The sequence below is a fragment of the Homo sapiens genome, chromosome 1 (assembly GCF_000001405.40).
Source record: "Homo sapiens chromosome 1, GRCh38.p14 Primary Assembly".
NCBI classification, from domain to species: domain Eukaryota; kingdom Metazoa; phylum Chordata; class Mammalia; order Primates; family Hominidae; genus Homo; species Homo sapiens.
This window is the reverse complement of record NC_000001.11, coordinates 34923780-34950161: the sequence shown is the minus strand read 5'-3', so window position 1 is coordinate 34950161 and position 26382 is coordinate 34923780. Positions and strand designations below refer to the sequence as shown.

Below are 26382 nucleotides of genomic sequence, written 5' to 3'. Positions count from 1 at the left end.
GAATGGAGTAATAGTTACATTTTGAAATTTTACGTATGCAGTGGTTCCTTGGTATCCGTGGGAGGCTGGTTCCAGAACCCTCTTGGATACCAAAATCTGCAAATGCGAAAGTCCCTGATATTAAATGGCATAGTATTTGCATGTAACCTATGCACATCCTCCTGTGTACTTTAAATCATCTCCAGATTACTTATAATATCTAATGCAAGGTAAATGTTATATAAATAATTGTTATATTGTATTGTTTAGGTAATAATGGCAAGGAAAAAAGTCTGTGTATGTTCAGTGCAGACACAACCATTCATTTTTTTCCTGAATATTTTCGATCCTTGGTTGGTTCAATCCTCGGATGCAGAACTGTGGATACAGAGGGCCGACTGTTATTTCTTCTCTCACTATGTTGCCCGTTAAACTATTAATTTCATTTTGAACTCGCCATCTCAGACAGTGATTGTTTATCATTACTTTTTTATCCATTTTACATGTTTGTCCATTCTATCATCAAATTTCAAAATCTTTTCCACTAAAGCTAGAAAATAGATATTTTTCTTTCCTGGAAATAATGTGCTTTTGTTGGCTAAATATCAAAACATAACATTATTCTTTTAAGAATATCATGGCAACGTTTTATATCAAAGCTTATATTCATTTAATACTCTCAATTGTTGCTATTTTTAAGCCTTTTTTAGATATAATTATTAGATACAATTTCAACAGCTCTGGATTCAGAGAGACAGATATCGATGTGTTCTTTAATAAATTGTGGTGTGTGTGTATGTGTGTGTGATGTAAGGCCCTCTAAAGCACAGGAACCAGAGATAGACTCCTTTTGCCTCAATTCAAAGAGGCTACTGGCTGGGTTCATCTGTTTTTTTTGTTTGTTTGTTTTTGTTTTTGTTTTTTTTTCTGAAAAAAGATTTTTCTGTTTTATTGTCTTTTACATTAAAAAAAATTGGAATGTGGAAACAATTCAAAGACTACAAAAGGATATATAGAAAAAGTGAGTTTCTCTCGCTCATTCCCACTGCCTTTGCGTTCCAAGGCAGCATCCGGTCCTGGGCACTGTGTCTCCTCTAAGAGGCTTTCCACACACATCTAAACACACACACTCTAACACTCGCTCTGTTTTCCCCACAATCCGCAGCATGCAGCCTGCTGTGTCCACCTCACATACGCACTGGACCTTGTCCTCACTGGGACGTCCAGATGAGTGAGTGGCTACAGAATAGCATGGCTGGTGAGCGCCTGGTGAGGTGACAAACCAGCTCTCCAGAAAAATTCAGAGCTCTGAGCCGTAGCCATTGCCAATGCTCATGGTGTAAATATTGCACCGTGGCTGGGCCAAGCTACCAACAGTCTAACAACTGACTGGCGAATTGTCCAGAATACTTTTTTTTTTTTTTTTAAGTATTTATTGATCATTCTTGGGTGTTTCTTGGAGAGGGGGATTTGGCAGGGTCATAGGACATTAGTGGAGGGAAGGTCAGCAGATAAACAAGTGAACAAAGGTCTCTGGTTTTCCTAGGCAGAGGACCCTGCGGCCTTCCGCAGTGTTTGTGTCCCTGGGTACTTGAGATTAGGGAGTGGTGATGACTCTTAACCAGCATGCTGCCTTCAAGCATCTGTTTAACAAAGCACATCTTGTACCGCCCTTAATCCATTTAACCCTGAGTGGACACAGCACATGTTTCAGAGAGCACGGGGTTGGGGGTAAGGTTATAGATTAACAGCATCCCAAGGCAGAAGAATTTTTCTTAGTACAGAACAAAATGGAGTCTCCTATGTCTACTTCTTTCTACACAGACACCGTAACAATCTGATTTCTCTTTCTTTTCCCCACATTTCCCCCTTTTTCTATTCGACAAAACTGCCATCGTCATCATGGCCCGTTCTCAATGAGCTGTTGGGTACACCTCCCAGACGGGGTGACGGCTGGGCAGAGGGTCTCCTCACTTCCCAGACGCGGCGGTCGGGCAGAGGCGCCCCCCCACCTCCCGGACGGGGCGGCTGGCCAGGCGGGGCTGCCCCCCATCTCCTGGACGGGGTGGCGGCCAGGCAGAGACGCTCCTCACTTCCCAGATGGGGTGGCAGCCGGGAAGAGGTGCTCCTCACTTCCCAGACTGGGCCGGGCAGAGGGCCTCCTCACATCCCAGATGATGGGTGGCCGGGCAGAGACGCTCCTCACTTCCTAGATGGGATGGTGGCTGGGAAGAGGCGCTCCTCACTTCCCAGACTGGGCGACCGGGCAGAGGGGCTCCTCACATCCCAGACGATGGGCAGCCAGGCAGAGACGCTCCTCACTTCCCAGATGGGGTGGCGGCCGGGCAGAGGCCGCAATCTCGGCACCTTGGGAGGCCAAGGCAGGCGGCTGGGAGGTGGAGGCCGCAGCGAGCCCAGATCACGCCACTGCACTCCAGCCTGGGCAACATTGAGCACTGAGTGAGCGAGACTCCGTCTGCAATCCCGGCACCTCGGGAGGCCGAGGCGGGCAGATCACTCGAGGTCAGGAGCTGGAGACCAGCCCGGCCAACACGGCGAAACCCCGTCTCTCTTAAGTCTGGGAGAAGCACAAAAACGTGTTTGTCATCAAATCTACCTATCCAGCCCCAACATTCCCCTGGAGTTCTAATCCCATAATTCCAACCGAGTACTAGAAATATTATTTTACATGTTCCATAGGCATCTTCAACTCATGTTCAAAATCAAACTTATAATTTTCTCCTCCATACCTCCTTTCCCTCCTGTGTTTCTTATTTTAGTGAATGGCACCACAATCCGCTCAGTCATCCAAGCCAAACTCTGGGATGATCTTGGGCTCTTCTTTCTCCTACCACCAAGTCCTTCTTATTTGAACATATACATGCATACTGATAATGTTCTGTTTCTTGATCAGGGTTGGTGACAGGCATATGTTTACTTTGTGACATAGTTATCAAATTGTACACTTCTAATTTATGCACTGTATGCAGATATATATACACATCTATATACATATACAATGCAATTACAATTTAATAAAACTAAATTTTAAAAATTTAATTCATTAAAAATGAAAAATGTACTTTAAAAATGTACCTCTAAAACTGCTTTAAATTATATAAATGTAACAGAATGCCATGATTAGGTACAAATTAGGGCTCAGGTCTTTCGGAGAAAAGTTAGGCAAATCTCTTCCCTTTGTATCCATTTGTATTTACGATTTACATAAGACCTGAGTAATCTCTGAAGAGAAGTCCTGACCTATTTCAGACATATACAAATATGACTATGGACTGCGGGTGACCCCAACAGAAGCCGGCGGGCAGAGAAGGAGATCAGAAGTCAGTGAGGGAGACTCACTATAAATAGAAGGAGTTGGCACATGAACCAACTCTAGCAATAGATCGTAAGTAATGGAACGGAGTGCTGGTTCCAGGTGTAAGACAGAGGCTGATACTGGAGATAATTTAAATTTGGTCACTCCAGTGGTAGATGTGCACCCTGGGAGACATGGGTTATGAGTTTGAGTTGAAAGAATGAAACCACTGATCTCTAAAACGTAATGAGGTTCAGTCAACCTTACTACGATCCCCTCCTCTCTTCCACTGAGTACTCCTCAAAGGGAGCATCTCTTTCTTACTTCCAAGGAGCAAAAACACAAACCTTCTCCCTTGAATGCAATGCAGCCTCCAAGTTCCATGGCCTTCAGGCTACGGCCGAATTCCCGCTCCACCTGCATGTGGCATGGCTGCGTTCTTGCTTCATTGGTTCGTAGTGGTGGTGGTGGTGATAACATCAGCAGGGATAGAGTTACAGCAGGAGTTTGACTCTTGTGAAATTATTAGGGCCTGAGGTTATGGAGTCCCTGCCTGGATGTCCATGGCAATGAGAAAAAGAGCCATATAACTAACAGCTCAGGCAATTTCACTGCAGGACTTCTCCAACTGAGCATAACACAGAAAAATCATTCTCTCCATTTCACAAGAGATAACTTTAATCTCAGGCATCAAGCCAAAGCAGCAGCATTTCAATTCCACTAACAATGGCACATGGCAATGATTGGAGTCAACTGCCACTGTGGAGAGGCCCTTCCCTGAATGGTTGGGTTCTGAGTATGCAGATTTATGGCTTGGCTAGCCATGGCCTAAAGCCTCCACATTTTGCTTGCTTGCAAAAATTCTACGTTAGCCAGGCATGGTGGCTCATGCCTGTAATCCCAGCACTTTGGGAGACTGAGGCAGGGAGATCACTTGAGCTCAGGAGTTTGAGACCAGCCTGGGCAACATGGTGAAACCATGTCTCTACAAAAAATACAAAAATTAGCTGGCCCTGGTGGTGTGTGCCTGTTGTCTCAGCTACTTGGGAAGTTGAGGCAGAATTGCTTGAGCCTGGGAGGAGGAGGTTGCAGTAAGCCAAGACTGTACCATTGCACTTCAGCCTGGGTGACAGAGCAAGACCTTGTATCAAAAAAAAAAAAAAAAAAAAAAGAAGAAGAAGAAAAGAAAAATCTCAGAAAGTTTGAGATTTCTGCTTACCTTTATGAAATTTTTATTTTTTATATTTTTAGATGGAGTCTGACTATGTTGTCCAGTCTGGAGTTCAGTGGCTATTGACAGGCATGATCATATCACACTGAAGCCTCAAACTCCTGGGCTCAAGCTGTCCTCCTGCTTCAACCTTCCAAGTAGCTGGGACTACTCAGAACTAGCCCCTGCACCCAAACCTTTGTGAGATTTTATAATACCTCAGAATGAAAGTCTAGGATGCAAGAAATAATAAAAAAGCAAATGGTAAATATGTGGATTAATAGGGCCGGGTATGGTGGGTCACACCTATAATCCCAGCATTTTAGGAGGCCAAGGCAGGAGGATTGTTTGAGTCCAGGAGTTTGACACCAACCTGGGCAGCATAGTGAGACCTCATCTCTACAAAAACTAAACAAAAATTAGCTGGGCATGGTGGTGTGTGCCTGTAGTCCCAGCCACCTGGGAGGCTGAGGTGGGGATCGCTTTAGCCTGGGTGGAAGAGGCTGCAATGAGCTGAGATTGTGTCACTGCACTCCAGCCTGGGTAACAGAGCAAGACAATCTGTCTCAAAAAAAAAAAAAAGATAAATATAAGTAGATCTTGAGTGTATAAAATTGTAATAATAAGGTCTAGTGGGTTTTTCAAAGGTAGAATTAAAACAGACAATTGTGTGTGTGTGTGTAGGTATACATATATATATAGAGAGAGGAAAGAATGGAGTTACAGTGTGTCTAAGTTTCTTGTATTTTGGAGTCTGATTAACTTCAGACTTTGATAAGTTAAGTATATATGCTAAAATTTCTAGAGCAATCATTAAAAGAATAGAAAGAATGTATAAATTCCAAAATAGTTGTAGGAAATTTGAAATAAGAGACATTCAAGAGAAGTGGAAATCCAAGTACCATTTCAGAATGATTAAACTGTGTGGGGATAGTGGTAAAAGATGAGGTTAATGATATAGGAATTGACCTCATAGGTTGTGATGTATAAAATATATAATATATATATAATCTAAGCTTTATGTATATGTGTGTGTGTGTGTGTGTTTATGAAATCCACCAGAACTTATTTGTATGTGTGTGTGTATGTGTGTGTGTGTGTGTGTGTGTGTGTGTGTGTGTGTGTTTTCCAGACATGATCTCACTCTGTCACCCAGGCTGGAGTACAGTGGTGCAATCATGGCTCATTGCAGCCTCGACCTTAACCTCCCAGGCTCAACCAATCCTCCCACTTCAGCCTCTATGTAGCTGGGACTACGGGTGCATGCCACCACTCCGGCTAATTTTTTTTTGTATTTATGTGAAGATGAGGTCTTGCTTTCTTGCCTGGGCTGTTCTCAAACTCCTGGGCTCAAGTGATCTGCCCACCTTGGCCTCCCAGAGTGCTGGGATGACAGGCGTGAGCCACTGTGCCTGATCTGGATTTCCTTTTAATTATTCTACTTGAAATTTGTTGGGCGTCCATAGCTTGATATCTTCATCAGTTCTGGAAAATCATCAGCCCTTGTCTCTCCACGTATTGTTCCTGCTCCATTCTCTCCCTCTTTTTTGGGCTTCCGATTAGACATACCTTGGACTGTTTCATGTTCCCTTCTTAACTTGTCTCTCACAGTCTCTCTCTAGGATGCTTTTTGTGTGTATTTTTCAGCTCTCTCTTCTTGCTCTTTGATTCTATTAGCACCTGCTTCCAGTTGGCTGTAAAACCAATTTATTGAGTTTTATGTTTCAGTTATATTTTTCACTTCTAGATGTTCCATTTAGGTCCTTTCCTTATTTGCTTGGTCATTCTTTAAAATTTTCTGTTTTCTGCTCATATTTTGTCTTTTATTTTTTAATGGACTTAAGATTCATAGAACTGGATAAATCATAATTCTTGGTTTATGGTTCACTGTCATCAGTGCACATGGACCTCTTATTTGTGTATGAGTATATATCTGCAGACATTTGTAAAAGAATGTAATAAATGCCTAGATTCCCACCACCCAACCCAAGAGCTGCAAGAGTACTCTCCCCAACTCTCCCCTATCCTACAACTCTGCCTCCTCCTTTCCAAATTTGTGATTTACACTCTGGTTTCTCTTCAAATTGTATAAATCTTTCGCCTTTTACCAAATTTGTGATTTACATTCCCTTTGTTTTTATAGTTTTATCAAATGTATATGTGGCCTAAATATTATTCAGTTTTAGTCACTTTATGGTATATATAATCTTCTAGGACTTTTCAGAAAAAACCTCAATGTTATATTCACTTAGATTTATTCATATTTTTGCATGCTCTATATAATATTTCATTGTGTGACTATTCTGTGACTATTTTATCCATTCTTTTGTTAGCAGGCATTTGGTTGTTTCTAGTTTTCTTTCCCCTACCACGAACAATCTTGCTATGAATATTCTTGTATCTGTCTCTTGATTAAATATGAGCAGAAGTTCCATTGGGTACATATTAATAACTAGGGGTGAAATGCTAAGTTTTAAGTGTATGAAAGATTAGTAGTCGGCTAGCATCTGGTTTGGCTGGATCTGTTCTGCTTGGTCAGTCCCGTGTGGTACTGGTTGTTAAAACTTTGCATGTTATCCTTGAGGGACTATGAATGGCAAACTTTGCAAGCCAAATTATTTTAAAATGCTTATTCTAATCTATACACCACCAAAAAATGTGTAAGAAATCCTGTTGATTCACATTCTGTCCAACAGTTGAGATTGTCAGATTTCTTAATTTTTGCCAATCTGATGAGAGCACATTGGTTTCTCATTCTGGTCTTCATTTGCATTTCCCTTGTTACTAATAAATTTGAGCATGTCCTCAAGCATGTATCTGCTATATGTGTTTTCTCTGAGAAGTGCCTGCTTATGTATCTTGCTTATGTATCTTATGTATCATGCATTTTTCTATTTGATTGCCTTTTTCTTATTGATTTGAAGGAGTTCATATTAAAAAAAATCCTAGATCCTGATTCTTGGTCAGTTACGTATGTTACAAATATCTCCTCCCCATTTATAGTTTGTCTTTTCACTTTCTTTAAGATGATTTATGAATAGAAGTTCTTAACTTTAATATAGTCAAAGGTATCCAGCTTTTCATTCCTAGATAGTCCTTTTCTTTTTTTCAACTTGTTTAAGAAAATCTTCTTAATTCAAGGTCAGAAAGACATTTGCCTATACTTCTGTGATGGTTAATTTTATGTGTTAACTTGAGTGGGTCATGGAGTGCCCAGATACTTGGTTAAACATTATTTCTGTGTGTGTTTGTGAGAGTGTTTCTGAATGAGATTAACATTTAAATTGCAGACTGAGAAAGCAGATCACCCTCCCCAGTGTGGATGGGCCTCATCCAGTTCATTGAAGCCCTGAGTAGAATAAAAAAGCTGAGTAAGAAAGAATTCTTTTTCTCTGCTTGACTGTCTTCAAGCTGGGACATCAGTTCTTCTTCCATCTTTTGACTTGAACTGGAACTCTACTATTAGCTTTCCTGGGTCTCCAGCTTGCCTTACTGCAGATCTTGAGACTTCTCAGCTTCCGTAACTGTGTGAGCCAATTCATTATACTTATCTATCTACCTGTCTGTCTCTCTATGCATCTATGCATCTATCTATCTATCTATCTATCTATCTATCTATCTATCTATCATCTATCTATCTATCTATCATCTATCTATCTATCTATCTATCTATCTATCTATCTGTCTATATCTATCCATCCATCCATACACACACACACACACACACACACACGCACACACACACCTTTGTTGGTTCTCTTTGTCAAAAGAACCCAGACAAATGCAACTTCTTTTTATTTATTAATTTTTTTTGAGACAGAGTCTCCCTCTGTCACCCAGGCTGGAGTGCAGTGGCACAATCTTGGCCCACTGCAACATCCACCTCCTGGCTTCAAGTGATTCTCGTGCCTCAGCCTGCCGAGTAGCTGGGACTACAGGTGCGCGCCACCACACCCAGGTAATTTTTGTATTTTTAGTAGAGACAGGGTTTCGCTGTGTTGGCCAGGCTGGTCTCAAACTCCTGGCCTCAAGTAATCCACCCACCTTGGTCTCCCAAAGTGGTGAGATTACAGGCGTGAGCCACTGTGCCTGCCCGCAACTTCTGTTAAGAGTTTTGCATTTGACATTTAAATCATTAACCCAATCCAACTGGAGATGAATTGTGTATTGTGTGAAGTAGGAATTCAATTAATTACTTTTCCAAATGGGTAATCCTTTCCCCTACTTTTTCCACTTATCTGCCATGCTGCCTCTGTTACATATCTAAGTTCTCCATATAAATATGTTTTTGAGCTCTCTAGTCTATTGTACTGATCATGTTGTCTCTCTGAGCCAGCATCACATGGTCTTGATGCTATATCTTTTTAATAAGTCCTGATCCTGATAAGGCAAATAACACCTCTTTATTCTTCTTCAGAAGTGTTTAGGTTAATTAATGAGATCTCCTAGTACCCAGTTTGGAGCTTTTAATACCATTTTGAATTAAAAGCATTCTAAATCCTTGGAAAAAATGGCTATTTTGTACAGAAAATGCACAAAATTAATTGAAATGCTTTCTTGTATTAAAAAGCAAGGAAACTACCAAATATGGGCTTGTGAAGGACCCAGCAGCCAACTTAAGCTACCTTTGGTCAAATTTGGGAAAAATAGAGCATAATAGAAGAATACCTTCAATGGATTAAAATATATCAAACATGTTTAAATGCATGAGTTCATTATCTTACCAAAGGCCGGGCACAGTGGCTCATGCCTGTAATCTCAGCACTTTGGGAGGCTGAGGTGGGTGGATTACTTGAGACCAGGAGTTCAAGACCAGCCTGGGCTACATGGCAAAACCCTGTCTCTACAAAAAATACAAAAATTAGCTGGAGGTGTTGGTATGTGCCTGTGGTCCTAGCTATTCTGGAGACTCAGGCAGGAGGAGCTTCTGAGCCTGGGAGGTTGAGACCTCAGTGAGTCATAATTGTGCCACTGTACTCCAGCCTGGGCGACAGAGTAAGACCCTGTTTCAAAAAAAAAAAAAAAGTTATAACTTTACCAAAGAAAACCCCACAAAATCCTTATTAGTCACCTTTGTAATATGCAAGGGAACCAAATTATTACTTTTATTTCATTTTTATTGAGTTAAAAAAGACACATACTAAAGTGCATCTTAAAGGTATAGATCTTAATATATACAACCTAATGTACAACCTTAAATGTATTGATTGATGAAAATTTACCTGTATGTATATCTATGTAACCATTACTCAAAAGATGTATATATCTACTAATGGAAATATACAACACTACTAATGAAATCTTGCCCAAAAATTGAACCTGTATCTGAGCAAACCACTAAAACTAATTACAAGTTTACAGGAAATATAGGGGATAGAGAAATATGATAAAACTTCAGAGGCAAAATCCAAACTGGGAAATTCTCAGGATAAACGATTTGGTTTCTTCAACAAATACAATTGCTGGAATAAAAAAGAAGGAGGGAATCTACAGATTAAAAAAGACTTAAGTGGGCCGGGAGCCATGGCTCACTCCTGTAATCCCAACACTTTGGGAGGCCGAGGTGGGTGGATCATTCGAGGTCAGGAGTTCGAGACCAGCCTGGCCAACATGGTGAAATCCATCTCTACTAAAAATACAAAAATTAGCAGAGTGTGGTGACGTGTGCCTGTAATCCCAGTTACGCTGGAGGCTGGGGTGGGAGAATTGCTTGAACCCAGGAGGCGGAGGTTTCAGTGAGCCAAGATCATACCACTGCACTTCAGCATGGGCAACAGAGTGAGACTCCATCTCAGAAAAAAAAGCTTAGATTACATCAATTGATTATAATGTATAAGAAAAATCAGAGAAATTTGATTGGATATTTAACTAGATATTTAATGATTATTATGATATTAAGAAATTATTAAAATTTTTAGATGTAATGGTATTGTGATTATGTTTATCAAAAATTTTTTTATTATAGAGATAGCTACTAAAATATTTATTGATAAAGTACAATGTTTAGCAATTGCTTCAAAATAGTACAAAGAGAGGAAGAGTAGAAAGTATAGATTACGGCTGGGCATGGTAGCTCACATTTGTAATCCCAGCACTTTAGGAGGCCAAGGCAGGTGGATCACCTGAGGTCAGGAGTTTGAGACCAGCCTGGCCAACATGGTGAAACCCCGTCTCTACTAAAAATACAAAAATTAGCTGGGCATGGTGGTGCCCACCTGTGGTCCTAGCTACTCAGGAGGCTGAGACAGGCGAATCGCTTGAACCCGGGAGGCAGAGGTTGCAGTGAGCCGAGATAGCACCACTGCACTCCAGCCTGGGCAACAGAGCAAGACTCCATCTCAAAAACTATATATATATATATATATGGATTAGACAACATTGGCTAAGAGTTTATAATAATTGAATCTGGGTAACAAATACATGGGGAGATATTTTTCTATTTTATTTAAAAAATATGTTTGAAACTTGTCATGATAAAAAGTTAAAAAATTGTAACTTAGTTCTTGATTCTTAACTTTTTCATACTAATTTCAGAATCAGGTTATCAAATTGCATGTATTTTGATTGAAATTGCATTGAATCTAGGGATTAATATTGGAAGAACTGACATCATTGCAAATTATAATTTTTTAATCCATGAATGTGAAATATTTCTCCATTTATTAAGTCTTTTAAAATGAATATCAGTAAATATTCATAATTTTATTAATCTTTTATTATATTTATTATTAATATATAATTTTTTGTAATGATTGTAAATGGTATACTTTTAAAATTATGTTTTATTATTGTGCAAATATAAACATGCAAATGACTTTTGTATATTGATATTTTATCCAGACTCCTTGCTAAATACAAGTACTCTAACAATTTGTTTAGATTCTTTTTTATTTTCTAGTTAATTATTATGTCATCTGAAAATAATGATAGCTTTATTTTTGCCTTTTTAATCCCAATATGTGTGCACCTAATAAAATAGAATTAAAATATATAAAGAAAATTTGATAGGGCTACAAAAGACAAGAGGTAGACAATCCTCCACCATGGTGGGAGATTTCAATACATTTTAAAAGTTGTTGATAGGTCAAACAGATAGAAATTTAGTAAATATGTTGAAGATATGAACAATGAAATTGAAAAACAGAGACTTAACATATACATAATTCTGCTTCTTACAGTTGGAGACTACAAAATCTTCAGAATTGTCTTGGTTGTCCAATTGCTGCAGAAACTTGGTAGTGTAAAACAACTACAAGTATTTATTATTTCTCAGATTCTGTGGGTCAGAATTTAGGAGTGGCTTAGTTGGGTGATTTTGGCTTAAGATTTCTCATGAAATTCGGAGAGATGTTGTCAGGAGCTGCAGTCATCTGATGGCTTGACTGGAGCTGAAGGATCTGCTGTCAAACTGACTCACTCACATAATCACCAGGTTGGTGCTAATGGCTGGAGGTGATGCAGGACCGATGAGCCCCCAAATTGGGGCTTAGCCCAGGAGGGTCCTTGGCTTCACCCAGGAAGGAATTCAAGGTCTAGCAGTGGTGGTTAGACAGCAACTTGTAACTTCTATTGAAGTGGCCGTGCACAGTAGCAGCAGAGCTGCTGCTCCTTGAAGAGCAGGGCTACCCTACAGGCAGTGTGCCCAGAGTAGCAGCTCAGAGGCAGTTCTGCACTCATATTTATACCTACTTTTAATTATATGCAAATTAGGGGGCAGGTTATGCAGAAATTTCTAGGAAAAGGGTGTTAACTTCTGGATTCATTGCCAGGTCAGGTCATTGCCATGGAAAGGGGCAGTAACATCTGGATATTGCCATGGCAATGGTAAACTGACATGGCACACTGCGGGGGGCATGTCTTATAGAAAGCTGCTTCTACCGCAGCCCTGTTTTAGCTAGTTGTCTATTTGGTCCCGTGTCCCCACCTCTGGAGTTGAGTCCCACCTCCTACCTCAGAAGGAGGGCTCACTTCCTCCCCATGTAGGTCTGCTTGAATGTCTTCATGACATGGCAGCTGGCTTCCCAGAGTTAGCTATTGAGCTACCTCAGACAGCAAGGTGAAAGCTGCAATGTATTTTATGATCTAGCCTAAGGAGTCATACACTGTCATTTCTGCAAATTCTATTGCTTGTACATGTTATCCCTATTATCCAATGTGGGAGGAGGCTACCCAAGGTCAGACATACAACGAGATGAGAGTAAATGAAGCCACCTTGGAGACGGACAGCTACGCACACACACAGAACATTTACAAACTTTGATCATATACTAGTCACAGAGCAAGTTTCAACAAACTTCAAAGAATAAGTACCATACAGGCAAGATTCTTTGATCACAATTCAATTAAGTTAGAAGTTAACAACAAAAATATAAACTAAATATTACTATCTAGAAATGAAAAATACACTTCCAAATAACTCATAGGTCAAAAAAATCATAATATGAATTTAAAAATACTTGGAACTAAATGATAATGAAAACATATGAGATGCAGTGAAAACAGTTCTTTAAAGATGGTTTATAGCCTTACATATTTATATTAAAAAAGAAGAAAAGCTGAAAATTAAGGAATTAAAACAGTTCTTTAAAGATAGTTTATAGTCTTACATATTTATACCAAAAAAGAAGAAAAGCTGAAAATTAAGGAATTAAAACTGTTCTTTAAAGATAGTTTATAGCCTTACATATTTATATTAAAAAAGAAGAAAAGCTGAAAATTAAGGAATTATATTTTCAACTTAAGCAGTTACTTAAAGAATGAGTAAACCCAAAGAACGTAGAAGGAAGTAGATAATAAAAATGGGAGCAGAATCAACAAATTAGAAAAGATACAACAGAGAAGATCAACAAAGTTAAGAAGCTAAGCATTTGATTCTTTTTCTTTTTCTTTTTGAATAGAGACAGGGTCTCACTATGTTGCCCATGCTAGTCTTGAACTCCTGAGCTCGATCAATCCTCACACCTTAGCCTCCCAAAGTGCTAGGATTACAGGCATGAGCCGCCACACTTGACCTAATTCTTTTTTTCTTTTTTTCTTGAGAAGGAGTCTCGCTCTGTCACCCAGGCTGGAGTGCAGTGGTGTGACCTCAGCTCACTGCAACCTCTGTCCCCTGGGTTCAAGCGATTCTCCTGCCTCAGCCTCCCGAGTAGCTGGGACTACAGGTGCCTGTCACCACACCCTGCTAACTTTTGTGTTTTTAGTAGAGGCGGGGGTTTCACCATGTTCTCCAGGCTGGGCTCGAACTCCTGACCTCAAATGATCCACCCACCTTGGCCTCCCAAAGTGCTAAGATTACAGGCGTGAGCTACCACACCTGGCCTAATTCTTTAAAATGATTAAAATATGGATCTCTGGCAATGTGAATCAAGAAAAAGAAAGCAGGTGCAAATACATATTATAAAGGAGGACATAATTATAGGTAAAGCAGAGATTTAAATGATAAAATAATTTTATAATAACTTTATGGCAATACATTTGAAAACTTAGACAAAATAGACATATCCTTTAAAAATATAACCTATTAGAAGTGGTTAAAAAATAGAAAGCCTGAACTAGTAGTTTAGATAGTCCTGTGATATGGTTTGACTCTGTGTCCCCACCCAAATCTCATGTTGAATTACAATCCGCAGTGTTGGGGGAGGGGCCTGGTGGGAGGTGATTGGAAGATGGGAGTGGATTTCCCCCTTGCTATTCTCATGACAGTGAGTTCTCACAAGATCTGGCTGTTTAAAAGTGTATAGCACTTCCCCCTTTGCTCTCTCTCTCCTGCTCCTACATGTGAAGACGTGCTCAAGTCCCCTTTGCCTTCTACCGTGATTGGAAGTTTCCTGCGGGCTTCCAGTCATGCTTTCTGTACAGCCTGCAGAACTGTGAGTCAATTAAGCCTTTTTTCTTCATAAATTACCCAGTCTTGGGTGAGAACTGGATAATTTACAGCAGTGTGAGAATGGACTAATACATCCTGTTAAGGAAATAGAAGCACTAGGAAAAAAAATTATAAACACCAGTTCTACAGATGAAACACATGTCTTACACAAATCTCACAAAAACTTACAAATATCAGATAATTCCAGTCTTATACAAACTTTTTCAGAGAAAAAGAAAAGAGGTGGTTGGGCACGGCTACAGATTAGCTGGGCGTGGTGGTGTGCCTGTAATCCCAGCTACTAGGGAGGCCGAGGCAGGAGAATCGCTTGAACCCTGGAGGCGGAGGTTGTGGTCAGCCGAGATTGCACCATTGCCCTCCAGCCTGAGCAACTTTGAAACTCTGTCTCAAAAAAAGATAAAAAAGAAAAGAAAAGAAAACAGGTAATACTCCCCTAACTCATTCTACAAGGCTAGACTAACCTAGATGCCAAATCACAGAAAACAAAGAGGAAAATTCAGGCTTATTTTTGTTTATTAATATAGATGCAAAAATCCAAAACAAAATATTTGCTGATTGAATCTGATGATATTGTCTATGTAAAATAAACCATAACACTCTATGAGTGAGTTGGGTTTATCCCAGGAAAGTAAAATTTAATATTAGGAAAATCTCTAAATATAATTGAACACATTATATGATCAAGTGAAAAGATCCAGCCTTTGATTAATTTCAACATACATTTGACAAAAACTCTCAGTAAATTAGAAATAAAGTGGAACTTCATTCACCTGATCAAGACGGGTCTCCAAAAACCCTATAATAAATGTCATCCTAAAGAAGAACTGTCAGAAACATTAAAGTTATGAACATGACAAATACACCCACCATCACTGCTTCTATCCAACATTGTACTCTAGGACCCAGCCAGCACAATAAGACAAGAAAAATAAGTCAAAGGAGCAAGATTATTTTATTTCTCTAAATATACTCAACATAGTTATTTTATATTCTGTGTCTCATAATACTATTAGTTGTTATTTGCAGGTATTTTTCTACTATGTGTTGTTTTTGCTGGTTGTATCAGTTAGGGTTCTCCAGGGAAATAGAGCCAGTGGTCTATATGTAGACATATGGAAGGGGATTTATCAGGGGAATTGGCTCACACAATTATGAAGGCCAAGAAGTCCCACGATACACTGTCTGAAAGCTGGAAAACCAGGAAAGCCAGTGGTGTAATTCAGCCTGAGCCCAAAGGCCTGAGAATTGAGGCAGACAATGGTATAACTCTCAGTTTGAGCCTGAAGGCTTGAGAACCAGGAGCTCTGATGTCCGAGGGCTGGAGAAGATGGATGTCCCAGCTCAAGAAGAAAGCAACTTTGCCTTGCTCTGCCTTTTTTGCTCTATTTGGGACCTCAATAGATTGGATGATGCCTGCTTACACTGATGAGGTCAGATCTGTACTCAGTTTACTGATTCAAATGCTGATATCTTCTGGTAACACCCTCACAGACATATCGAGAAATAATGTTTTACCAGCTATCTGAGTATCCCTTAACCCAGTCAAGTTGACACATAAAAATGAACAATCACATTGTTTCTTATTTACAGTGCCATGTTTCCTTGTGTGTTCAGTGACAGACATTTAACTGTGAGTTATTCATTTTCTTTGGAATTTTATCTGTGGAAATTATTTGAGGCCTGAGACAAAGATTTACATTTGCTTCTGCTGGGCACCTGAGGCACTACCAATCTGGTACATTTTATACCAAATTCTTGGCTTGAGTTTTTCCAGATCCTTTAGGTAGAGTGGATCTGACTGCATGTGATGTGAAATTTAACTCGTAGTAATGGATACTCAGGAGGTGATTCTTCCTTCCTACACTCATTACTACTGCCAAGGTTTAAAGCTTGCAATTTTCTTACAATTTCCTAGGTTTGGGGATGAGGTTTTTTCTAGCTCTCCTGTACATTGAGAGTACAGCCCTTTGGGGTTCTAAGCTTATGCAGGGGAGTATGTGACCATCTTGGGCAGACTCGGGTTTTATCTTTTATCTCTGGTGCCCTGAGAGATCATGAAAACTGAAGTTAAATTTCATCTGTCAGCAAATGACCCTGTATTAGTTATTAAATGCCATAATATTGCGGCATAATACCATACCATACCAAAGCTCAGTAGCTTAAATTAATAAGCATTCATTATTGCTCAAGAGTCTTCAAATTGGCTCGACAGTTCTTCTCATTCAGCTGGTCTCACTAATGTGTCTGCAGTCAGCTGTGGACAGGTAGATATCTCTGCTGCTCTTGCCTGGGCTCTCTCACATGTTTGGAGATCTGCTGGCTATAGGCGGGTCCATGATGATCTTGGCTGGGACAGTTGGGATGGTATAGCTCTCTTCCACCTTGTCACTCATCCTCCAGCTGTCTCAGGCTTGAGGCTTGTTCTTATAGTGAAGGCAGGAGACCAAGAGAAATAGTAGAAGTATTCATGTCTCTGAAGGCCTAAGCTCAGAACTGGCACTACATGACTTCTTCCAGATTCCATTGGCGAAAGCAAGTTACAAGTCCACTCAGATTTAAGGGGTGGGAAAGTAGGGTCTGCCTCTTTTTTTTTTTTTTTCTCCTCAGAGATCCTTGTTCCAAAGAGTCCACCTGTTGATGCAGGGAGTTGCAAAGTCACAGGGCAAAGGAGATGGATTCGGGTGGAGGTAGAGAATTGGTGCCCTTTTTGCAACACATCTTTCACAGCCCCCAAGGCTAAAGTTGGCTTCAGTGCTCTGCTTACTTCTCTGGTTCTGCCTTTACCTAGATTTTGGCTGGAGTGATTCTTATTTTCTTGCCAGCACATTGATACATTTAAGAATATTAAAAATGTACATAGTTATACATATATATTCTCTTCTTTATTGTGTTTTAATAAAAATATTTTATCTTTTTTTTTTTTTTTTGCTATTTATCATGCTTTCAGTGGGAAGATCAACTAAGGCAACTGTCATACTGATTGACACTGAGTCTCTGTCTTTGCACATGTGACTCTCTACCTGAAAGTCTCTCTCCCAATCTTTGAGACTCCATTCAAATGCTTCTTTTGTGCTTCTTTTTTTTTTTTTTGAGATGGAGTCTTGCTCTGTCGTCCAGGCTGGAGTGCAGTGGCGTGATCTCTGCTCACTGCAAGCTCCACCTCCTGGGTTCATGCCATTCTCCTGCCTCAGCCTCCCGAGTAGCTGGGACTACAGATGCCCGCCACCATGCCCAGCTAATTTTGTTTTTGTACTTTTAGTAGAGACGAGGTTTCACTGTGTTTGCCAGGATGGTCTCGATCTCCTGACCTCATGATCTGCCTGCCTTGGCCTCCCAAAGTGCTGGGATTACAGGCGTGAGCCACCGCGCCCAGCTTTTTGTGCTTCTTTGACTGTCCTCTTCACCTAGGCAGAGCTAGGCCCAGGGTGAGCCCCTTGTCCAAAAATTATTAACAATTTTAAGACAGTGACAGCAGAATATTCTACCAAGAGTGATGCCTTTCTACATGTGGGGCTCTGTACGACTGCACAGGTCACACTCCCATGAAGCTGGCCCTGATAGTAATTATTGGTTTACATCTCCATCTCCCTTATTAATCAGTTATTAATCACTGGATGGCTATGGGAGAACACTGTCTAAGGTAAGCCTGTCTGATTAACCTGTATGCCCCCAAGAGGCTAGCAAGGTGCCAGGTATAATCAGTAAAGGGTTGTTGAATGAACAAATGAAAATAACATTATGTTCTCAATTCTAAAATGCACCAACTCTAATAGCTTTAACAGAAAGGTAAGAAGAGCCATATTAAATGTCCCTGTTTATTGTAAGATGCTTTCCAGTTTCAGAATAGTTTACAAAATACAGGTCTTAGAACTGCGAAAACACGGTGGTGCTTTTTAACATCCTCTATCACGGCTGTTCTTTTTTTTTTTTTTTTTTTTTTTGAGACGGAGTTCCAGGCAGGAGTGCAATGGTGCAATCTCTGCTCACTGCAACCTCTGCCTCCCGGATTCAAGTGATTCGCCTGCCTCAGCCTCTGAGTAGCTGGGATTACAGGCGCCCAACACCACACCGGGCTAATTTTTGTATTTCGGGTAGAGACAGGGTTTCACCATGTTGGCCAGGCTGATCTCGAACTCCCGACCTCAGGTGATCCGTCTGCCTTAGCCTCCCAAAGTGCTGGGATTACAGGCGTGAGCCACTGTGCCCGGCCGTCAGCTCATCCTTTTTTTTTTTTTTCTTTAAGACTGAATCTGGCTCTGTTGCCCAGGCTGCAGTGTGGCACAGTCTCAGCTCACTGCAACCTGTGCCTCCCGGGTTCAAGCAATTCTCCTGCCTCAGCCTCCTGAGTAGCTGGGATTACAGGCACGTGCCACTGCACTCGGCTAATTTTTTGTAATTTTAGTAGAGACGGGATTTTACCATGTTGGCCAGGCTGGTGTTGAACTCCTGACCTCAGGTAATCCACCCGCCTTGGCCTCCCAAAGTGCTAGGATTATAAGCATGAGCCACTGCGCTCGGCCCAACGGCTGTTCTTATGCTCCACGGAAAGTGAGATGTTTCCTTCAGTTCTAAAGTGGGTTCCTGGGAACAACTTTCTTATTTTCATGACATCTGCTCTTGACTGAACCCTGGGCTGGAAATGGTCTGCAACCTCACTTCATGATTGAAGAGACAATGAACCGTTCTTGTGAGCAGCAGGGTAGGTGACCAATCTACTAGTCTCTTACCAGACTTCTAGGTATCCCTTGGGAAGAGGGCTCTCCAAGCCCCTTATGTTATTTAATGTAATGTGGCATCTTAAAACATCATCTCCCTGGGGAAAAGAGGTCTTGGCTCCCAGTTCTAGCTCTTCTGGGCCTTTGGCTTCTCCTTTCCGTGCCTCACTTTCCCCTTTATACAGGGAGGAGAGCCGGTGGCCCCACAAGGAAACAGAGAGCAGGGAGTTGTTGGGGTGCGGGGTGGGGGCCGTTGAATCAGAACAACTCCAAGGTATGTTCCTAGAGAGGTGGGCAGTCTCAAGCCTCCCAAGCCCACACCTCACCATCCCAAGCTTTCAAGACCGGAAAAGGTAGAGGAGGGAAGAGGGCTTTAAGGATGCCCACTGAACCTCCACCCCCAACTTTCAGCGCCGGAGGCAGTGTTTCCTCACACCTACCCTGGAAAGCCGGAATCCGGAGCCACCCCTTCCCCCACGTCTTCAGCCCCTCCCCCTGCGGCTTCCCCACCGTGGCCCCCTCCCCCCCATTACAGCATCGCTCTGGGCGCCAAGACGGATTCAAGCCAGGGGACTGCTGCAGTCCGCTCTCCGCCTCTCGGCTCCCGCAGCCTGTGTCCGGGCTCCGCAGCCTCCAGCTGTGCTTCGGACAGTCCCTTTCCCCCCACCCCGACCCCGCCATGGCACAATCCCAGGCTCAGGGCCCAGAGGCGGGCGGGCACAGTGGGCACGGGCGGGGGCCCAGCACAGGCGGCAGGTACAGCGGGGCTCTCCCTCCACACTGGGGATGCCTCGGCTGTGCGGACTGTGGGTGGGGGACGCCTGCCAGCGGCTCCGAGGCCGGGCACAGCGCCCCATCCTGGCAGGGGCTGGGGCCGAAGAGGGGGGCTCCCTGACCCCAAGCCAGGAGCTGAGGTCAGGCGGCCGACCGGGAAAGCCCGAAGGAGAGTCTCCTAAGCGGACGGGCCTGGGGGCTGTGTGTGACATTCAGGGCGTGACTGCCCCTCGGCGGGGGGCGAGACCCGGTCCGTGAGGCTGAGCTGGTCCCCGACCGCCCGCCCGCCGCCGGGCTTGGGTCCCTGTACCCAGGTCGGCTGTGCGTGGCCGTGACACTTCGGGTGCCTGTTCCTGGGTCCCCGGGGAGGGGGATCTCATTCCTGCCCCTACGCTGGGCGCCCCCAGCACCGTCGCTCAGCGAGGTGGGCGCTCCTCCGGGACCCCGGCGGCCGCCCGCGGGCGGCGACCTCGGCCCTCCTGGGTCCGCGCGGGGGCGGGGAGCTCGGTCCCCCTCCCTCTTCCTCTCCCTCTCCCTCTCCCTGCTCGGCTGCCCTGCGCGGGGGCGGGGGCGGGGGCGGAGCGCGCGGGCGGGATCCCCCCGCCTCCCCTTCCCGGTCCCCGGGAAATCCAGCCTCCGTGGCTTGGCCGCCTCCCGCTCCCGCGCCCGCTGCCGCTCGGCGCTCGCTTGGGGCTCCGCAGCCGGCGCGGCCCCTCAGCTGGGGGCTCCGCAGTGCCGGGCCCCGGTCCCTGCCCGCCTGCCCAACGCCGCAGCGCCCCCGGCCCGGGCCGCCGGCACCATGTAACCCGGCCGGAGCCCGAGCCGGGCCAGGTAAGCCGCGGGGAGGAGTGGGGACGGGGCCGCGCTCGCGGCTCCCTCTGCAGCGCCCCCCAGGCACGGCCCGGCTGCGGCCCCGGCGCCGCCCACGCCCCGGGCTCCGGCGCTCGGCTCCCGGCCCCGGGAGGGGGGAGGGGCTGGGCCTCCTCAGCTGCCCCCGCTCCTGCCCCGGCCTGGCTGCCCGCGGGCCCGACCCGAGGGGCGGGCAGGGGACCACGCGGACCGCGGACCCACGCTCCCGGTCAGGGCCGCGGGGACAGGCCAGCCCCGGCCCAGCCCTCGCCCGGCTGGAGGCTCGGGTCTGGGAGGGAGTAGCCAGCTGGTTGTGGGGGAAGTCGTGGTGCTGGGGAGATCCGGAGAGAAGTTTCCTCTGCAGGTGTGTGAATGTGAGTGCGTGTCGCTGTGTGTCTGTGCCGAGTGTGTCACTGTGTGGGTCTGTGGGCGATTGTGTGTGCCGGTGAGTGTATGCCGTGAGTGTGTGCGTGTGTCACTGTGGGCGAGAGTGTGTGTGCATGTTAGTGGGTGTATGCAGCGTGAGTGTGGAGGGTGGTACTGTGTATGCATCTGTGGACATGTGAGTGAATGAGTGTGTGTTGTCCCCATGTGTGCCTGTGTGTGTCTGTGAGTGTGTGAATGGATGTGTGTGCCGGCGTGACTGTCTCTGTGAGTGGGTCCCGGTATCTGCCCTGTGTGACTGTGTGTGTGTGTGTGTGCGTGTGCGCGCGCGTGCGTTGGCTGTGTGAGAGAGAGTGTATCTGAGCGCGGTTCACTCTGAATCACCCACACCTGGGCTCTGTCCCCCCCACTGTCCCCCCATTCCTGGTGGGATATGGGACAGGGAGATGAGACTTTTCCGAGGTCAGATCATTCCCCACTTCTCTGGGGACCCCTGACCCTTGATTCAGGCAAGAGCTTTGTGGCACTCCCCAGCTTGGTCTCTACCTTCACCTACCTCAGGGGGTGCCCTCTGGGATGTTGCTGGTCGTGTCCTTCCTGCATGCTAAGGCCCCTGGTGGGTGGGAGGGGGGATCTGGGGCGAGCTGGAGTATGTGCCTGCGTGTGCTGCTTCTCCTTTTGGGGGCCTGGGAACTTGTGTCATCTCAATAATGTTTCACCAAGGGCCTTTTAGAGCTAGGAGATGAGGAGGCCAGGTGGAAGCGTCTGCCCTGTTAGTCATCAGAGCAGGTGGCGCTCTCCCAGACTTCCAAGTCCCAAACCTTCAAGTTCTGGGTTATTGGTTCAGTCCACTGGCTCCGGGTGGGTCTGTACTAAGCTCTTTGAAGTAATAATAATAAAATAATGCCCTCATATTAGTTCAGGGCTTTTGAAAATGCTGCCCTCTGAACTCTTCTTATTTCCCCAACAGCCTTGGGAAGCAGGCAGGACAGGTATCACGTTAAGCCATATGCAACTGCAATATTCAACTGTTTTTATTTAACCTACAAAAACAGCAATTTCATATGGTTCAACCAAATATAATGCCGATTTACAGATGAAGATGTTGAGGCTTGAGAAATGAATTGCATTTTCCACAACCACACACTGCTAGTTAGTGGTACAGAAAGACCTCAGCCCAGGTCTTTCAGTGACCCAAAGAACTGGGCTGGGCCAAGGTTAGAGAGTGGTACTTCCTGGTGTGCTCTCTCTGACCCTGGGGGCACTGCCCTCTACCACTGCGCAGCATTCCCTGAATGCTGGGGCTACTTCTGCACCCAGCTGCCAATGCCTAAAAGAGTGGGGGGTGGGGGGAGAAGAGAGGAGGGAGGGGAGGGAGAGGCTTCGTGAGTTGGCAGTGAATCAGGGTCTAAAAAGGGAGCTGGGAGGGCTAGGGTGGCAGGTGTTTCTAAAAGGAACATGAACATAGGATGAACGGCCTCACATACAGCCCCCGCATCTCCCACCCGCCACTGCCCCACTGATCTGGCAGGCAGGGCCCGCTGAGTTTTGTGCCAGGGGGCTCACATCCAACGAGTGAGCTTGTATGTAGCTGTAGAATGATGGCCAGGAGAGGAACCTTAGTATTGACTTGGTCCAACCTCTTCATTACAAACCGGGGACTCTGAAGCCCCAAGAAGGGAGGGGACTTGCCCAAGGTCACACAACGAATTTGTGAGTTCCTAGGCTAATCTTAGACGAGGAACTTTGCAATCCTCCATGTTGCCTTCTATTCCTGAACTCTCCCCACCCCCATCAGAGCTGAGTACAGGGGATTTTTGGAAAAGAAATGAAGACTCAAAAAGCCTAAGGCTGTACATCTTTCAGCTTGGGACTCCTTGCCAAAGAGAGGGCGCTACAGATGTCGCTGGGGATAGGGATTCCTAGCCACACCCACCACCGAGGTAGGCCATGGGCTTGTCTTGTCTTGATTCCTGCTGGTGAGGGGCTGGAGCTGCTACAGGCCAGACTCCCAGACTTTCTCATGTTAGTACCTGCTTTCAGCGGCTGCCTGACACCTAACATCATCTCTTCCAGCTGATGTTGGGGCTCGAGCTGGCTAAGCTTGTTTTCCTTCATCCTCCCCAGTTTCCAGTGCATTTTGCCTCTAGCTGGATAGACCATTCCTTACCTTATTGGGTTCCTAATGAATAGAGAAACTTCTGGGGCTTGTCTGATTTAGGAAGGGTCTGTAGTTACCCCCAAACCCTTTCTAATGAAATCTTCCAGGAGTCTAGGACAAATGATAAAGGGATTACCCCCATTTTACAGGTGGGGAGACTGAAATTCAGCAAGGGGCCCCGTATTTGGTTGTTTTTTAGTTTTTTGGGGGTGAGGTGATGAAGGGAGCAAATGATGACAAAAACTTTTGCCTAGAGGAGCTTCCAAAGACCCCTTCTGGTCTTACCATCCCCACGGTCAGGAAACCTTCCCAGATTCTGATTTCATTCCCACTTGGTAGAGTCAAAGCTTTGTCACTCAGTGGGGGTTGGAAGAACAGCTGCGTACCCTCCACTATGCAAGCATTATGTCTTGATTTCCTCTTTATCCACCCTGCCCCTCCCCAGTCTGAAGGCTGCTGGCTCAGCGGGCCTCCTGCCGTCTGGGGAGTCTGGGTTTGAGCTGGGGTGAGGCAGTGGCACCATCGTTATGGTAACGAGGTGCCAGCTCATCATTGCTAATAACTTGTCAGGCCCCTGGGCTCCATGCAGCATCTCTTCCTACCAGCCCTTCTTCCCATGTCACAGACAGAAAAAGTAAGGCTTTGATGGAGGGGTCTGGGAATAAGGGAGTCTGGAGAAGTGGGTGGCCTTGTCCCTGGGGCTGTAGCTGGAGAGCTGCGGGGAGGCTGCTTGGAAGCTGGTTTACACATATGGTTACATAGGCTTGCATATGATTGCGTGGGCTGTTAACATGTGAAAACACTCAGAACATGCTTGTATAAACTTATACAGGCTAGCTGACATGTTCATGTGTTTTTACACAGCAGCCCACAGGCAAACATGCTTCCAAGCATCAGAACATGCTTGTGCCTGAATACTGTCTCTACCATCTGCACATAAGGCACCCAAGAAATCTGGGTTTGTGGGGGTGTCCAGGTATGTGGGTGGGGATCTGATCTTTTTCTGATGCAGCTTCAAAGTGTCTTGTTAACAAAGGGACAGAATGGTCCCAGGGTTCCTTCTTCTTCCTTCCAGTTAAGAGCTCAGAGTGGAAGTGGGCTGGGGATGGTGTCGGGGGCCCAAGCTCCCAGCTCCCAAAGGCCCCTGCTTCTATGCCCTTTGAGCTCAGGTAGCCCCTGCCCCCCTCACTGTCTGTTCTTTCTCATCCTCTCCTCTTCCTGTGTGTAAATATTAAAGAGCTGAGCCTGCAGGGCTGATGTAGACATGGGGAGAGAATGAAATTAAAAAGGATTCCCTCGCCCCCATCTCGACACCCCCGCCCCGCAGTCCCTCGCTCCTGCTTCTTCCCCTCTCCCCTCTCCCCTCCCCTCACTCAGTGCTTCCACATGTCTCTCCTCCCCCCAGTCCAGATGGGAGCTGGCTCCTTCAGAAAGGGGGCTCAGAACAGGGTGTGGGGAGCTACCTCTCTCTGCCTCCCCCCACCACATCTGTCTGCAGGGCTGGGAGCCCCCACGTGAGTATTTCTTTTATTTTTGGGGTGGTGGTTAAGAAGGAAAGTGGTTTTTAGAACCAGCTGTGAGTGGCATTGAGAGGCTCTGGGCTGAAGGAAGGTGGGTGGGGTCCTCTCTCAAGGTTCCCTCAGGGAAGCCCCATGTCTGGGTTTCTTTTCTCTCTTGGGACATAGAGGGAAGGTGGGGGGGGGGTTGTCAGGTGCCCCCGGTGGATGGGAGCGACAGTGGGAGGGGCAGGGGAGAGGGGCTTCTGTTCTAAAGGGGGTGTGTGGTGGGGTAAACCTGTTCCTTCCTGGCATCCTGGGTTTCTGGCTACCGGGGCCGGCAATGTCGCTGGGAACTGTCCCGGGTGCTGAGTGGGATTCGGCGGGGATTTGCTCCTTCGGAGCTGTCCCGAGTGCTGAATGAGGCTTCGTTCGGTCCCGATGGTGGAAAGGCGGAGGGCAGTGGGGAGGGCTCACTAGAAAAATTCTCCCAGATGACCCACTTTCCAAGGGCATGGATGGAAATATGGATTTGGAGTTCTCCCTATGGTTTAGGTTTCACAGTTGTTAGTGGTATTTAGGAACCCTTCCCCCAAGGGGCCCCTCTCCCCTTTTGCTGTTTCAGTTCCCTCTCTCCCTTCCAAAACCATTGTACTGTTATTATCGGGGTAGAGTTGGAGAATGATATTGTGCCTGTGAGATCTCATCTCCTGGGAACTTTTTTTTAGCGCAACAAGCTCAGAGATATTGATACCAGCCTTTCACCTACTGGGTCCCAGAATTTCAGGCTCAAGGTGGTTCTGGATTAAGAGAACGCCGGTCTTCCTGGTTAGGTGTGGGGTGGTTACAGCTCAGGAGTTCAGGATAACTTGACTGACAACTTGATATTCCCTTGCCCATCATACTTTGGGATTTGGGACAGGGACACTGAAATATTCTGCAAGCCTGTCCTGTGTTCTGCCCACTGCCAAACCTAGCTCAGAGCAGCATTTGGGAGAGACTTTTGTTGGGGAGGAAGATTTTTAAGCAAAGGATTCAAGGAGTGGGTGGGGTTGTTCAGTGCCATGGAGAAGAGAAGGGGGAGGCTACTGGAGACAGGGCAGTGGGAAAAGAGGAAGATCTGGGGGAGTAAAAAATATTCAAATGGAGGGATGAGGTCTGGGTTTCAGTCTTTAGTTCTCTTGGATATCTTTCTCCTTATGGCTTAGAGTCAGGGTCATTTCAAGTATCTGTATTCTTATGCACTGTCTTTGTAACCATGAAGGGAATAGAGCAAGGAGTTTCTTAAGGTCCCTTCCCTTGTCATCCCAGGGGGATGAGAGCCAAATGTCAGGACATGCAGATGAGTCTGTAGGGGAACAACAGGCAGGAAGGGATGATGGTGGCTTCACTTCCCATCCCCAAGAGCACAATCAAATATTCAAATGGGATCCTCCCTGTGAGGGGAGGAAGGAGACAGTTTCCAGATAATACTGGGCAAAAATTGGGTGTGGCAGGGAGTTCAAGAAAAGGGAGAGGTATCTAGGGATCTCAAACTGAACCAGTTGATCCCTTCCCACATGTGACTTGTAGTTCATAAGGAGCCCCTCACCCATCATGTTTTTGATGTAAC

General features: G+C 45.2%; 1 protein-coding gene across 3 annotated transcripts in view, besides 2 other annotated features; it reads left to right on the top strand.

Annotated features, from left to right (window-relative positions):
• Positions 19904 to 19953: a silencer, noted in NCBI's record as "silent region_632". NCBI's record gives its function as "represses an Ori minimal core promoter by ATAC-STARR-seq in GM12878 lymphoblastoid cells {active_cell/tissue: GM12878}" and the evidence as "EXISTENCE:reporter gene assay evidence [ECO:0000049][PMID:35858748]".
• DLGAP3 (DLG associated protein 3) overlaps positions 20512 to 26382 on the top strand; it is a 64215-nt gene continuing 58344 nt past the window's right edge. Inside the window, exons 1-2 of one of the 3 annotated variants that reach the window (XM_011541879.3) lie at positions 24304 to 24443; positions 24680 to 24788. The gene's annotated coding sequence lies outside the window, so the exon portion shown is untranslated. Of the gene's footprint in view, positions 20712 to 24303; positions 24789 to 26382 lie in introns of those variants that run through there. The other 2 variants (NM_001080418.3, XM_047426631.1) reach the window with 2 other exon arrangements.
• Positions 20934 to 21003: a silencer, noted in NCBI's record as "silent region_631". NCBI's record gives its function as "represses an Ori minimal core promoter by ATAC-STARR-seq in GM12878 lymphoblastoid cells {active_cell/tissue: GM12878}" and the evidence as "EXISTENCE:reporter gene assay evidence [ECO:0000049][PMID:35858748]".